A 12,486-nucleotide genomic window follows, 5' to 3' on the forward strand; every position below is an offset into this window, starting at 1 on the left:
GATCACGAGGTCAGGAGATTGAGACCGCCCTAGCTAACACTGTGAAACCCTGTCCCTACTAAAAATACGAAAAATTAGCCGGGCATGGTTGTGGGCACCTGTAGCCCCAGCTACCAGGAGGCTGAGGCAGGAGAATGGCATGAACCTGGGAGGCAGAGCTTGCAGTGAGCCGAGATTGTGCCACTGCACTCCAGCCTGGGTGACAGAGCAAGACTCCATCTCAAAAAAAAAAAAAAAGAAAAAAGAAAAAAAAAGAAAAAATATAAGAGATGGTGGTGAGGGCAAGGTTGTGGAGAAAAGGGAACACTTATACACTGCTGGTAGGAGTGTAAACTAGCTCAGCCATTGTGGAAAGCAGTGTGGCCATTTCTCAAAGAACTTAAACCAGAATTACCATTTGACCCAGCAATCTTATTATGGGTTATATACCCAAAGGAATATAATTACTTCTGCTATAAAGGCACATGCATGCGTATGTTCATCAGGGCACTATTCACAATAGCAAAGACATGGAATCAATCTAAATTCCCATCAACGGTAGGTTGGATAAAGAAAATGTCACACATATAAACCATGGAATACTATGCAGCCATATAAAAGAAGGAGATCATTTTCTTTGCAGCAACATGGATGGAGCTGGACACCATTATTCTGAACAAACTAACACAGGAACAGAAAACCAAATACCATATGTTCTAACTTATCAAGTGGGAACTAAAAAATTAGAACACACAGGCACAAATAGGGAAACAGCAGACACTGGGGCCTACTTGAGGTTGGAGGATAGGAAGAAAGAGAGGATTTTAAAAATACCTATCAGGTACTATACTTATTAACTGTGTGACTAAATAATCTGCACACTAAACTCCTGTGACATGCAGTTTACCTGTATAACAACCTGCACATGTACTCCTAAACCTAAAAGTTAAAAAAGTTTAGTTTCATGGATGTGTTGTTTTACTAGTCTCCATATTATTTATTTCTTTTCCCCATGTTATTTATCTGTTACAGCCTTCCTCATGCTAATTTTGAGTTTTGTGTGTTCTTCTTTTTCTAGTTTCTTGAGGTATAATATTCGGTTGTTTATTTGAGATCTTTCTGTTTTGCTTTAGTTTGTTTTGTTTTTTATCTAGATATTTATTGCTATACACTTTCCTCTTATAACTGCTTTTCCTGTATCCCATAAATTTGGTTTGTTTTGTTTCCATTTTTGTTTATCTCAAGATATTTAAAATTTTTCTTTTAATTTCTTTGTTGACCATTGATTGTTCTGGAGTATTTTGTTTAACTTCCATGTATTTGTAGTTTTTCCAAAATTCCTCTTACTGATTTTTAGTTTTAGGCTATTGTGGTCAAAAATGATACTCAATATAATTTCAGTCTTCTTGAATTTGTTGAGGCTGTTTTTGTGCCCTCACATGTGTTCTATTCTGGAGAATGTTCTGTTTGTTCTTGAGAATAATATGTATTCTGTTGTTACCGCATGGACTGCTTCATATAGGTCTATTACATCCATTTAATTTAAAGTGCTGTTCAAGTCTAATATTTAGTTATCGTTTTTCTGTTCAGATGGTCTTTTCATTGTTGAGAGTGAGGTATTGAAATCTCCTTCTATTATTGTATTGCAATCTGTCTCTTTCTTCAGATTTTTTACTATTTGTTTTATATATTTATGTGTGCTAATGTTGAATGAAGGTATTTTTACAATTGCTATATTCTCTTCAGGATTTGGTTTATTTATCATTATATAATGCCCTTCTTTTGATGGTTTTTGACATAAAGTCTGTTTTATTTGGTTGCTACCCTTGCTCTCTTGTGGTTTCTATTTACATGGAATATCTTTTTCCATCCCTTCACTTTTACTCTATGTGTGTCCTTAAAATTGAGGTGAGTCTCTTGTAGTCAGCACATAACTGGGTCCTGTTTCTTATTCATTCTGTCTCTCTTTCTTTTTATTGGAGAATTTAACTTATTTACATATAAGATAATTATTGATAGGTAAGAACTTATTACTGCCATTTTCTTACTTGTTTTCTGGTTGTTTTATTAAGAATTTGTTTCTTCCTCTCTTTCTGTCTTTCTTAGTGGTTTGATGGTTTTCAATAGTAGTATGCTTTGAATATTTTCTAGTTTTGTTTTGTGCTTCTATTGAAGATTTTTGCTTTGTAGTTACCATGAGGCTTACATGGAACATCTCATATGTATGACAGCCTATTTCAAGCTGATAACAACTTAACTGTGATGGCTTAACTAACTTTGATACAACAATAGTACATTTTACTCCCTGTTTTCATTTAAACTCTGAATTTCTTTAATAACTCATTGGTAGCTACTGTTTTCAGCAGCCATCAGAGGCCCACACAGGAGAGCACCAGCAGGGGATCCACCTGCATGAGTCTCCTCTAGGTGGTCTCACTGTTAGGGATTGGATTGCAGGTGCAGTTTAATGACACAATCAGAATGCAATAGTTTAAAAGTTTTTCATACTCACATATCCTAGGGGGTACATAGCATGCCTTCTCTACGCAAACACACACAGGTCAGGGGCTGCAAGAAGAGAGAGAGAGAAGGGACTTTTGGGTCAATTCCTTTATTGGACCCACAGAATTATCCAAATTTCCTGTGGAGAGCTTTAATCAGTAGGTTTAAAACAAATAGGCACTAATTTCAGGAGGTCACATTGTGAATCAGAGGTGATCACTTTAAGTTCCTGAGCAAATGTCTAAATGGTCCATTTAAAGGAAGTAGGAGGAAAGCAGGGAGCCTGGCCTGCTAGATGGGAGAGATGCTTCTATGTTTTTATACCTTGTCATTGACTAGAGCCATTCAAGTGGGATACAGTATTGGAAACAGGGTCAAGGTGGCCTGAACCCTGCTTCTAGTATTAATAAATTTATATTTTAAAAGGAATACTGAAGCAATATAAAATTATTAACATTCAGTGTAATTTATCTCATGATGTCTTAGAATCATACTCAAAAGTAAGGCAATTGGAGTTGAGTGGTGGAGATTATTGACTGTAAGGGAAAAGAGTAGTTGTGGTGGTTGTGTGTGGAGACACAGGGCAAAAGATTGGAGTGGAAAGCTGGAGGCAGGTGGCAGAAAAAGACATCAGAGAGTGGGTAAGTCCTCTCCTCAGGGAGTTAAAGGGTTTAATGACATAGAATTGGTGCCTTTTGGGGAAAGCAATAATCTCCATTAATTTTAGTAACCTGTACCAGAATTCTCTTTAGGTATAGAAGTGTGAGGGTATATATTTGACCGGAGAAGAAGTATACCAGGATCACAGGATAAGCAGACAGTGAATTTAGACGGATATGTAAAAATGTGCTGGGTCCATTTTCTGCGTTAGGAAAGGCAGTCTGTGAGTATCCCTTGGTGGAGGTTTAGGGTAAAGAGTGAAGTCAACTACAACATCGAGGTCTTGGGTTAGGATGATGTCATCTGAGGTAATGTCATCTCAGTGGAGAGATTTTGGGTCAGGTCAATGTCATCTGGAATGTCTGACTGGGTATCCTTTTCAAGTGGGTACCCATTTGTGTTAATGTAGGACACAGTATTTAGCATAATTGGTTCAAACAATCATTTGCTGAAGGATTTGGATGTCTGATTGTAAACCAACAAAAGTACCCAAACCAGTAATAGTAATAAGACCAATAATCAATAGAACAATGTGCAGCTGCCCCTGACGAGGTTTTGTTCAGGGTAAAAGTTTAGGTTTAAATGGGTCCCTGGTTATATGAATAGATACCTGGTCTGTGGGACAATCTATTGTAATGAATCCTAGGAGAATATGAGTCCTCCATCTGGCTTCCAGTGTTAGTGGGATGGGGGCAAGATCAAAAATGTATATGAAAGTAGTTAAGGCCTGGGACAAACTGGAGAACCTTAGTGTGTTTGTTGTCTTGGAATTTGAAAAGAAAAGAAGTTTTTTGAGGTCATCATTGTGTCTCTCAATTAAAGCAGTTATTTGGGAGCTATCAAGGATGTGAAAGTTCTATTGAATGTCTTTTTCAAGAACCTAGCAAGATATATTTTAATAAGTGAAATTTGTGCCTTTTTTTAGTAGTAGTAATGCTTGTAACTTTGAAGGGAATAAGAAATATCCCAGCAAAGCCTTAGGCTGTGGCCTCAGAACATATGGAGATTCGTAATTTTGATTTATTCTTTGGGTGTCTATAAATCAAGAAATTCCCAGAGGTTTTGTTTGGTTTGTCTTTGTTTTTTGCCTTAAAGGGGACAATTTTTAAGCAATGGCCTAATAGCTTATAATAAATATAAAGATGAAACCATTTGTTGACCAGGGCATCTAGTGCAAACACAATGGCCTGAAGTTTGGCTAAGTGCGTTGTTTCTTGGTCTCCATCATTTATTAGGGACTGATATGGTTTGAATGTTTGTCCCTTCCAAATCTCATGTTGAAATGTGATTCCCTGTGTTGGAGGTGGGGCCTGGTGGAAGATGATTGTATCATGGGAACAGATCCCTCATGAATGGCTTAGCATAATCCCTTTGGTAATGACTGAATTCTCCCCTTAGTTAGTTCACATGAAATCTGGTTGTTTAAAAGAGTTTGGGACCTCCCCCTTGTCTCTCTTGCTCCTGCTCTCGCCATGTGACATTTTGGCTCCCCATCACCTCTGCCATTATTGTAAGCTTCCTGATGCCTCACCAGAAGTAGATGCCAGCAGCATGCTTAATGTACAGCCTCCAAAACCATGAACTAAAATAAAAGCTCCTTTCTTTGTAAATTACCTAGCATCAGGTATTCCTTTATAGCAATGCAAAAATAGCCTAACACAGAAAATTGGTACCAGAAGCGGGATGTTACTATAAAGACAACAAAAGATGTGTAAGTGGCTTTGGAATTGGGTAAGAGGCAGAGGTTGGAAGAGTTTGGAGGGCTCAGAAGAAGACAGAAAGACGAATTAAAATGTGGAACTTTGGTTGTGACCAAAACACTGATAGAAATATGGACAGTGAAGACCAGGCTGACAAGGTCTCAGATGGAAATGAGGAATTTATTGGGCATGTTATGCCCTAGCAAAGAGCTTGGCTACATTGTGTTCACATCCTAGGGATCTGTGGAAGGCTGAACTTAAGAGTGATAACCTAGCATATCTGGTGGAAGAAATGTCTAAGCAACAAAGTGTTTAAGATGTGGCCTAGCTGTTTCTAACAGCCTACAATCAGATACAGTAATAAAGAAATGACTTAAAGTTGAAACATATTTAAAAGGGAAGTAGAGTGTAAAAGTTTGAAAAATTTGCAGCCTGGTCCTGTGGTAACAAAAGAATCCAAGCAGGCTGTGGAGCAACCACTGGCTAGAGAGATTACCATGACTAAGAAGGAGCCAAGTGCTAATATTCAAGATAATGGTAAAAAGGCCTCAAAGGCATTTCAGAAGTCTTCAGGATGGCCTCTACCACCACAGATTCAGATGCCTAGGAGGATAATGGTTTCAGGGATTAGGGCCAGGGCACTGCTTCCCTGCTTAGCCCCAGGACACAGCTCGCCTCATTCTGGCCACTCCAGCTCCAGCCTTGGCTCAAAGGAGCCCAAGTGTAGCTCAGAATGAAGCTCCAGAGGGTGCAAGCCATAAGCCTTGGCTGTTTCCACATGGTATTAAGTCTGCAGGTGCTCAGAATGCACGTGTGAAAGAGGTGCAGCAACTTCCTTCTAGGTTTCAGAGGATGTTTTGGAATGCCTGGGTGTCCAGGCAGAAGCATGCTGCAGGGGCATTCTCCACAGAGAATCCCTACTATGGCAGTTCCCAGAGGGAAACGTGAGGTTAGAGTCCCCGCACAGAGTCCCCACCAGGCCACTGGTTAGTGGACCTGTGGTAAGAGGGTCACCATCCTGCAGACCCCAGAATAATAGAGCCACTTGCAGCTTGCATCCTGAGCCTGGAAAAACTATAGGTCATTAATTCCAACCTGTGAGAGCAGCCACAGAGTTGCCCAAGGACTTGGGAGCCCACCCTTTGTACCAGTGTGCCCTGGATGTGGGACATGGAGTCCAAGTTGATTATTTTGAAACTGTAAGATTCAATGACCGCCCTCCTGGGTTTTGGACTTACTTGGAGCCTGCTGCCACCCGTTCTTTTTTTTTGTGACTGGTTTTTCCCTTTCAAAACAGGTATGTATAATCAACACCTGTACCACTATTGCATTTGGGAAGTAAATAACTTATTTTTTGATTTATTAGGCTCAGAGGTGGAAAGAGCTTGGCCTTGAGTATTAGATAAAACTTTGGACCTTTGATTGAGTTAATGTTGGAATAAGTAAGGCCTTGGGAGACTATTGAAAAGGGATGATTGTATTTTGCAGTGTGAGAAGGGCATGAGATTTGGGGGGCCAGGGTCATAATGACTTGGCTTGGATGCATGTCCCCTCCAAATTTCATGTTGAAATGTGGTTTCCAATGTTGGAGGTGGGATCTGGTGGAAGGTAGCTGGATCATGGGGGTGGATCCCTCATGAGTGGCTTAGCCTCATCCCCTTGGTGATAACTGAGTTCTCCCTCGGTTAGTTCATGCAAGATCTGGTTCTTTAAAAGAGTCTGGGACCTCCCCCTTCTCTCTCTTGCCATGTGACATGCTTGTTCCCCATTGCTTTCTGCCATGAGCGTAAGCTTCCTGAGCTTCAGCAGAAGCAGGTGCTAACACCATGCTTCATGTACAGCCTGCAGAACTATAGGCCAAAATAAAATCTCTTTTCTTTATAAATTACCCAGTCTTTATAGCAATGCCAAAAAAAAAAATGGCCTAACACAGGGACATTGTGGCTAAGGGATGGAAAGAAGCAACATTACACTAAGTACCATGATGTATGATGGTTAGCAGTGCTGTCTACATAGTTTGCCAACTCTCGTTATCATTTACTCAGTTATTCCCAATGGGCTTCCCAGGTAGAGAAGGGGTATAGGGTAAGGATGACCTCCTCCAGCACCCTGGCATCTTTTAAGGAACTGAGGACCAGGGAAGCCACCCCTCCTTCAGGTAGCATACACCAGAAGGCCCAGGTTTGGCTCCTCTTAGAGAGGCCTTGGTAACTATGCCAAGTTTGTAGGGTGCTGTTTCTATTACTTAAAGCACAGTGAGCAGTTGGGTATGGAGAATCACAGATTTAGGATTTGTGAAAGTCTTTATTTTCAAGAGATCCCTGTTTGTAGCCAGGCACTTGTTTTTTTTTTTGTTTTTTTTTTTTTTTTTTTTTTGAGATGGAGTCCCGCCCTGTCGCCAGGCTGGAGTGCAGTGGCACAATCCCAGCTCACCGCAACCTCTGCCTCCCGGGTTCAAGCGATTCTCCTGCCTCAGCCTCCCGAGTAGCTGGGATTACAGGCGTGCGCCACTACGCCCAGCTAATTTTTGTACTTTTAATAGAGACGGGGTTTCATCATGTTGGCCAGGATGGTCTTGATCTCTTGACCTTGTGATCCGCCCGCCTCGGCCTCCCAAAGTGCTGGGATTACAGGCGTGAGCCACCGCACCCGGCCGACACTTGTTGTTTTAATGGTGTATAGCATAAAGCCAAGAGGGGCAATATCTTGCATAAGAAGCCCTGGGGCAACCAATGGCAGTTATCAGTGGTCCCAGGACTCCTGGAAGCAGGTTTTCATTTTTTTCTTTTTCTTTTTTGAGACAGATTTTTGCCCTGTCACCCAGGCTGGAGTGCAGTGGCGCGATCTTGGCTCACTGCAGCCTCTGTCTCCCAAGTTCAAGCAATTCTCCTGCCTTAGCCTCCCAAGTAGCTGGGACTACAGGTGCATGCCACCACACCTGGCTAATTTTTATGCTTTTCATAGAGATCGGGTTTCACCATGTTGGCCAGGCTGGTCTCAAACTCCTGACCTCAAATGATCCCCCTGCCTCAGCCTCCCAAAGTGCTGGGGTTACAGGCAGGAGCCACTGTGCCAGGCCAAAAGGTTTTCAAAGCCTCTACAGTGAAGGAGTTTTTTGAGGGCACTGACAGGAGTGCCTATTGATTTTAATTTAGAAGTAAAATTTGTAAATGAGGAATATGTTGCTGCCAGAACTCAGAAGTACTAAGAAATATTGGACTTAACTGACCTTAATGGTTGTAAACAATGAATCTCCTTGGAAGAGGATATTAATGTAGTGTCATACCTGTGTTCCTGGAGAAAGTAGATGCCATTAAGATCTTGTTTGAGAATATTGTATGTGATGACAAAGCTGTTGGGAAGTATCCCATTGGTAACCCAGAAAGGTGTATTGTGCTTCTTCAGAGGTGGAGGCAAACTGCAGCTGTGAAAGGACGTAGAAATAGGAACTGAATGGAACAGGTTAGCCAAATCTATAAGAGCAAACTATGTACCAGATGTTGATTGGGTTGAATCAACAATGGTAATAATATTAGTTATTGAGTATAGGGGTCCTAATGAATAGGATCACCGTATTAAGGTTGTAGTAGTCTGTAGTACGGCACCTTTTGTATGTCTACATATATATATATATTTTTTCTTTTTTTTCAGATTCGGGAACAGAGAAAGATTGGTTGCTAAATGGAAAAGCAGGAGGGAGAATTATCCCTTTAATAATTAGGTTTTATATACTTAGTTTTAATCTTGAGGAGCCCATTTCAACTTATATTGGGCCATATTAACTATTAACTGGGGGGGTTATGGGGTCCCATTTTATCAATCCAATTTGTAAGTGCCAAAAACTTACTTTAAATTTATTACTTACTGTGTCAGAGAATCTAAGTCCAACATAGAATATTTTATAGCAATGGAGTATATGATTACGGGAAGTGTAGGCATGGCCATAGTTAAATTGAGGAATACTCATTTTTGTATTTTATACAGGCAAAATATAGAAGTAGAATATTTAAATTTAGTGGGACCCCAGATGTAACTATAGTTTGAGTCCTGGTATTAATTAAGCCCATGCATTTTGGTCAATTAGTGCATTTTAGCAAATGTTAAAAGTTAAGTTAGAATCTCTATTGTGGAGACACAAAAGCCAATCAGTGCTGTTTATCGTTTTTATTTATTATTAACAAAAATTCTTTAGTATATGAATTTTGACTTTCCAATGAAATCAAATTATGGAAAATATATATACAATTTATTTATTATATATTTATATTGAAATATTGTGTTTGCATATGTATGTATTAATGTTCTATATATAAAGTTAATTAAATTAATTACCTTTTATTTTCCTCACCTCTTCTTCACCAACACAGTGAAGCTCAGTGTCATATCACACTTTCCAACTATTACTGAGGGGTCATTGCTGCTTTCCTGAAACCTGGTGGCCCCTGTCTATAACCTGTGAAATGGTGGTAGAGCTCCACCATCCTGGCCAGCTCACTCTAGCAAGATACTAGGACTTCACCATTTATAATCAATACAGTACCGACCACTACAGAGATCCCAGGGCATTGGAACAGTATACCTGCCACAAGGAGCAACACACATTCAAATAGTGGCCTGCTGCACAGGGTCCTTTGAGATCCCAAGAAAAGCTAATGATGTCACAAAGGAAAACACACCCTGATTATATTGGGACTTGCTCTCTGACAGCTTCAAAAGAACTTTAAGAGCTCATAGAGCTGTCTACAGCCACCACAATTTCAAGCAAATCCCCAAGGCAACACCTGAGAGCAGAAGTAGGCACCAGTGCGAAATAGCTTGATTGAATACTGGCAAGTAGTAGTGCCATCAGATACCAACTGGACCATCTGATACGGGAAATAAGTCATCCATTCCCAGTGGGCAGACAATGATATTGTATCCAAGCTTTGACTATAATCATACCTTCTACATCAGTTGTTTTGGATAAAACTCTTTGAGTTGATAGCTATTGTTTTCAGCAGCTACCAGATGTCCAGACAGAAGAGCATCACCCAGGGATTCACCTGCATGAGTCTCCTTTCGGTGGCTTCACAGTCAGGGGTCAGATTGCAGGTGTGGCTTCAGTGACACAACCACCACATAATAGTTTAAGAGATTTTAGTACTCACAGACCCTGGAGGGTACATGGCATGTCAGGAAGCCATACCCACATAGAGGGGGTTCTGGTAGAGAGAAAGAGAAGGGACCCATGTGTCAGTGCCTTTATTGGGTCCAGGGCATTATCCAAACAATTTTCCTGTAGGGAAACCACCAGCTGTAACTGGTGGTTTTAAAGCAAGCAGTCATTATTTCCAGGAGGTTACGCTGTGACTGGAAGGTAAACACTTAGAATTCACAGGCAAATGTCTGAATGGTCTATTCAAAATAAGTGAGAGAAAAGCTGGGAGCCCAGCCTACTACATGGGAGAGATGCCTCTAAGTTTTTATCTCTGGTCACTGGCTGGAACCATTTAGGTGAGTATAGTATAGGAAACTGTGCCAAGTGTGACGGGGCCCTATTTCTGGTAATAAAAAGTTAAACTTACATTAAAAAGTGGTTGCTAAGGCAACAGAAAGTTATACGCACTCTACACTCTCCACCCTCCACACACATATTTTATGCTTTTGATGTCAAAATTTACATCATTTTATAATGTATATCTCTTGGCAATTTATCTTACCTACAATTTTTATTAATAGTTTTACACACCATCATTACAGAACTATAGTATTTTGAATATGGCTCTGCTCTACGTATACCATTGAGTTCTGTGATTTACTATGCTTCATGTTATTAATTAGCAGCCTTTTGCTTCAGTTTAAAGAACTCCATTTAACAATTCCTATAAGGCAAGTATAGTGATGATGAACTCTCTAAGCTTGGGTGTTTGTGTAAGAAAATTTTTATTACTGTCTCAATATGGAAAAATAGTTTTACTGGATAAAGTATTTTTGGTTAGCAGTTAGCAGTTTCCCCCACCCCCTTCAAGACTTTGGCTGTATCATTCCATTCTCTCCTGACCTTTAGGATTTCTGCTGAGAAATCCACTGATCCACTGATAGTCATATTGACACTTTTATATTTGATGTATCTCTTACATCTTGCTGCTCCCACAATTTTTATATGTGTTTAATTTTTGATAGTTTGATTATTATGTGTTTTAATATACTCAATTTGAGATGAATTTAATTGGAGCTCTCTCTGCTTCCTGTACCTGGGTGTTGGCATCTATCCTCATATTAGGAAAGTCATTATTTATTTAAATATGGTTTCTGGCCTTTTTTCTCTTTCTTCTCCTCCTTATGCAAAAGTTTGGTCTCTTGATTGTCCCATAATTCCTGTAGGCTTTCTCCATTCTTTTTTATTCTTTTGTCTATTTGCTCTTCTAAATGAATAATTTCAGATGTTCTTTCTTTCAGCTGATTTTTTTCTTCTGCTTGTTTGAATCTGCTATTGAAGTTTTCTGTTAATTTTTTTTCTGTTGTTCAGTCATTGCATTCTTCATCTCTAGAATTTCTATCTGGTTCTTTTTTATTGTCTCTATTTCTTTGTCAGTGTTATTGCTGTTTCCATGAAATGTTTTCTAAATTTCATTAAACTTCCTCTTCATATATTCTTGTAGTTCACTGAACTTATTTATGAGTATTGTTCTGAATTATTTGCAAATCATTTCATAGATCTCCATTTTGTTGCAGTCCTTTATTTATTTATTTATAGATGGAGTCTTGCTCTGTCGCCCAGGCAGGAGTGCAGTGGTGCGATCTCGACTCACTGCAACCTCTGCCTCCCAGATTCAAGCAATTCTCCTGCCTCAGTCTCCCAAGAAGCTAGGATACAGGATCCCACCACCACACCTGGCTAATTTTTGTATTTTTAGTAGAGACAGGGTTTCACCATGTTGGCCAGGCTGGTCTCAATCTCCCAACCTCAAGTGATCCTTCTGCCTCAGCCTCCCAGGTGCTGGGATTACAGTCACGAGCCACCATGCTCGGCCATTACTGAAGCTTTAGTAGTTTCTTTTGAAAGTGTCATGATTACATGATTCTTGGTAATTCTTGCATTCTTGTGCTGTTGTCTGTGCATTTGAGGAGACAGCTTCCCCTCTGGCCGTTTCAGGTGTTCTTTGGCAGGAATAGAACCTCACTATTTAGTCTAGTCTCTGATTCTGGAAGGGCCAGCTGTAACAATCCCAGGCAGGCAGAGCTTGTTTTGAGTTCTTTAGTTGACTAGGATGCTGCCTTCACTCTAACGTTGGATGGGGCTGCTGCTATCCGGTGAGACCACTACCTGGGCTCTGCTATGGGGCAAAGCTATTGGCTGGGTACTACAATGGCTTTTGGTCAGATAAGTTACAAAATATATTCCCTGGACGGGCAATTCAGTTATTTGGGATCTATATTTGAGTGGGTCTGTAGGATGGGCTTCAAGGTTAGGTGTTAGTGCTACTCAGGACAGGTAGGACCAGAGGCTATGCTCCTTACAGATGTGTGACTAAGGATTGCCTCCCTATCTGGGTGGAGCCATGGGCTGGGCTTTTCTACGAGCTGAGTAGCTGACCACTCCCAAGTCAAGCCCATTTAGCTCCTTTGCTTTTCTTAAATCCATGGAGGTGAGAGTCTCCCTGCT

The 12,486-nt window shown here is 40.3% G+C and overlaps 2 long non-coding RNA genes across 2 annotated transcripts in view; one reads left to right on the plus strand and one right to left on the minus strand.

Annotated features, from left to right (window-relative positions):
* The window catches only part of LINC00616 (long intergenic non-protein coding RNA 616), a 103,264-nt gene extending 93,824 nt beyond the window's left edge, over nucleotides 1-9,440 (minus strand). The window contains exons 1-3 of the long non-coding RNA NR_037866.1: nucleotides 9,174-9,440; nucleotides 8,128-8,265; nucleotides 2,492-2,547 (exon numbers count right to left, since the gene is read on the minus strand). This is a non-coding gene — a long non-coding RNA (long intergenic non-protein coding RNA 616). The remainder of the gene's footprint in view (nucleotides 1-2,491; nucleotides 2,548-8,127; nucleotides 8,266-9,173) is intronic.
* SLC7A11-AS1 (SLC7A11 antisense RNA 1) overlaps nucleotides 1-12,486 on the plus strand; it is an 89,164-nt gene that overhangs the window by 32,232 nt on the left and 44,446 nt on the right. The window lies entirely within an intron of this gene.

The sequence above is a fragment of the Homo sapiens genome, chromosome 4, assembly GCF_000001405.40.
Source record: "Homo sapiens chromosome 4, GRCh38.p14 Primary Assembly".
NCBI lineage: Eukaryota > Metazoa > Chordata > Mammalia > Primates > Hominidae > Homo > Homo sapiens.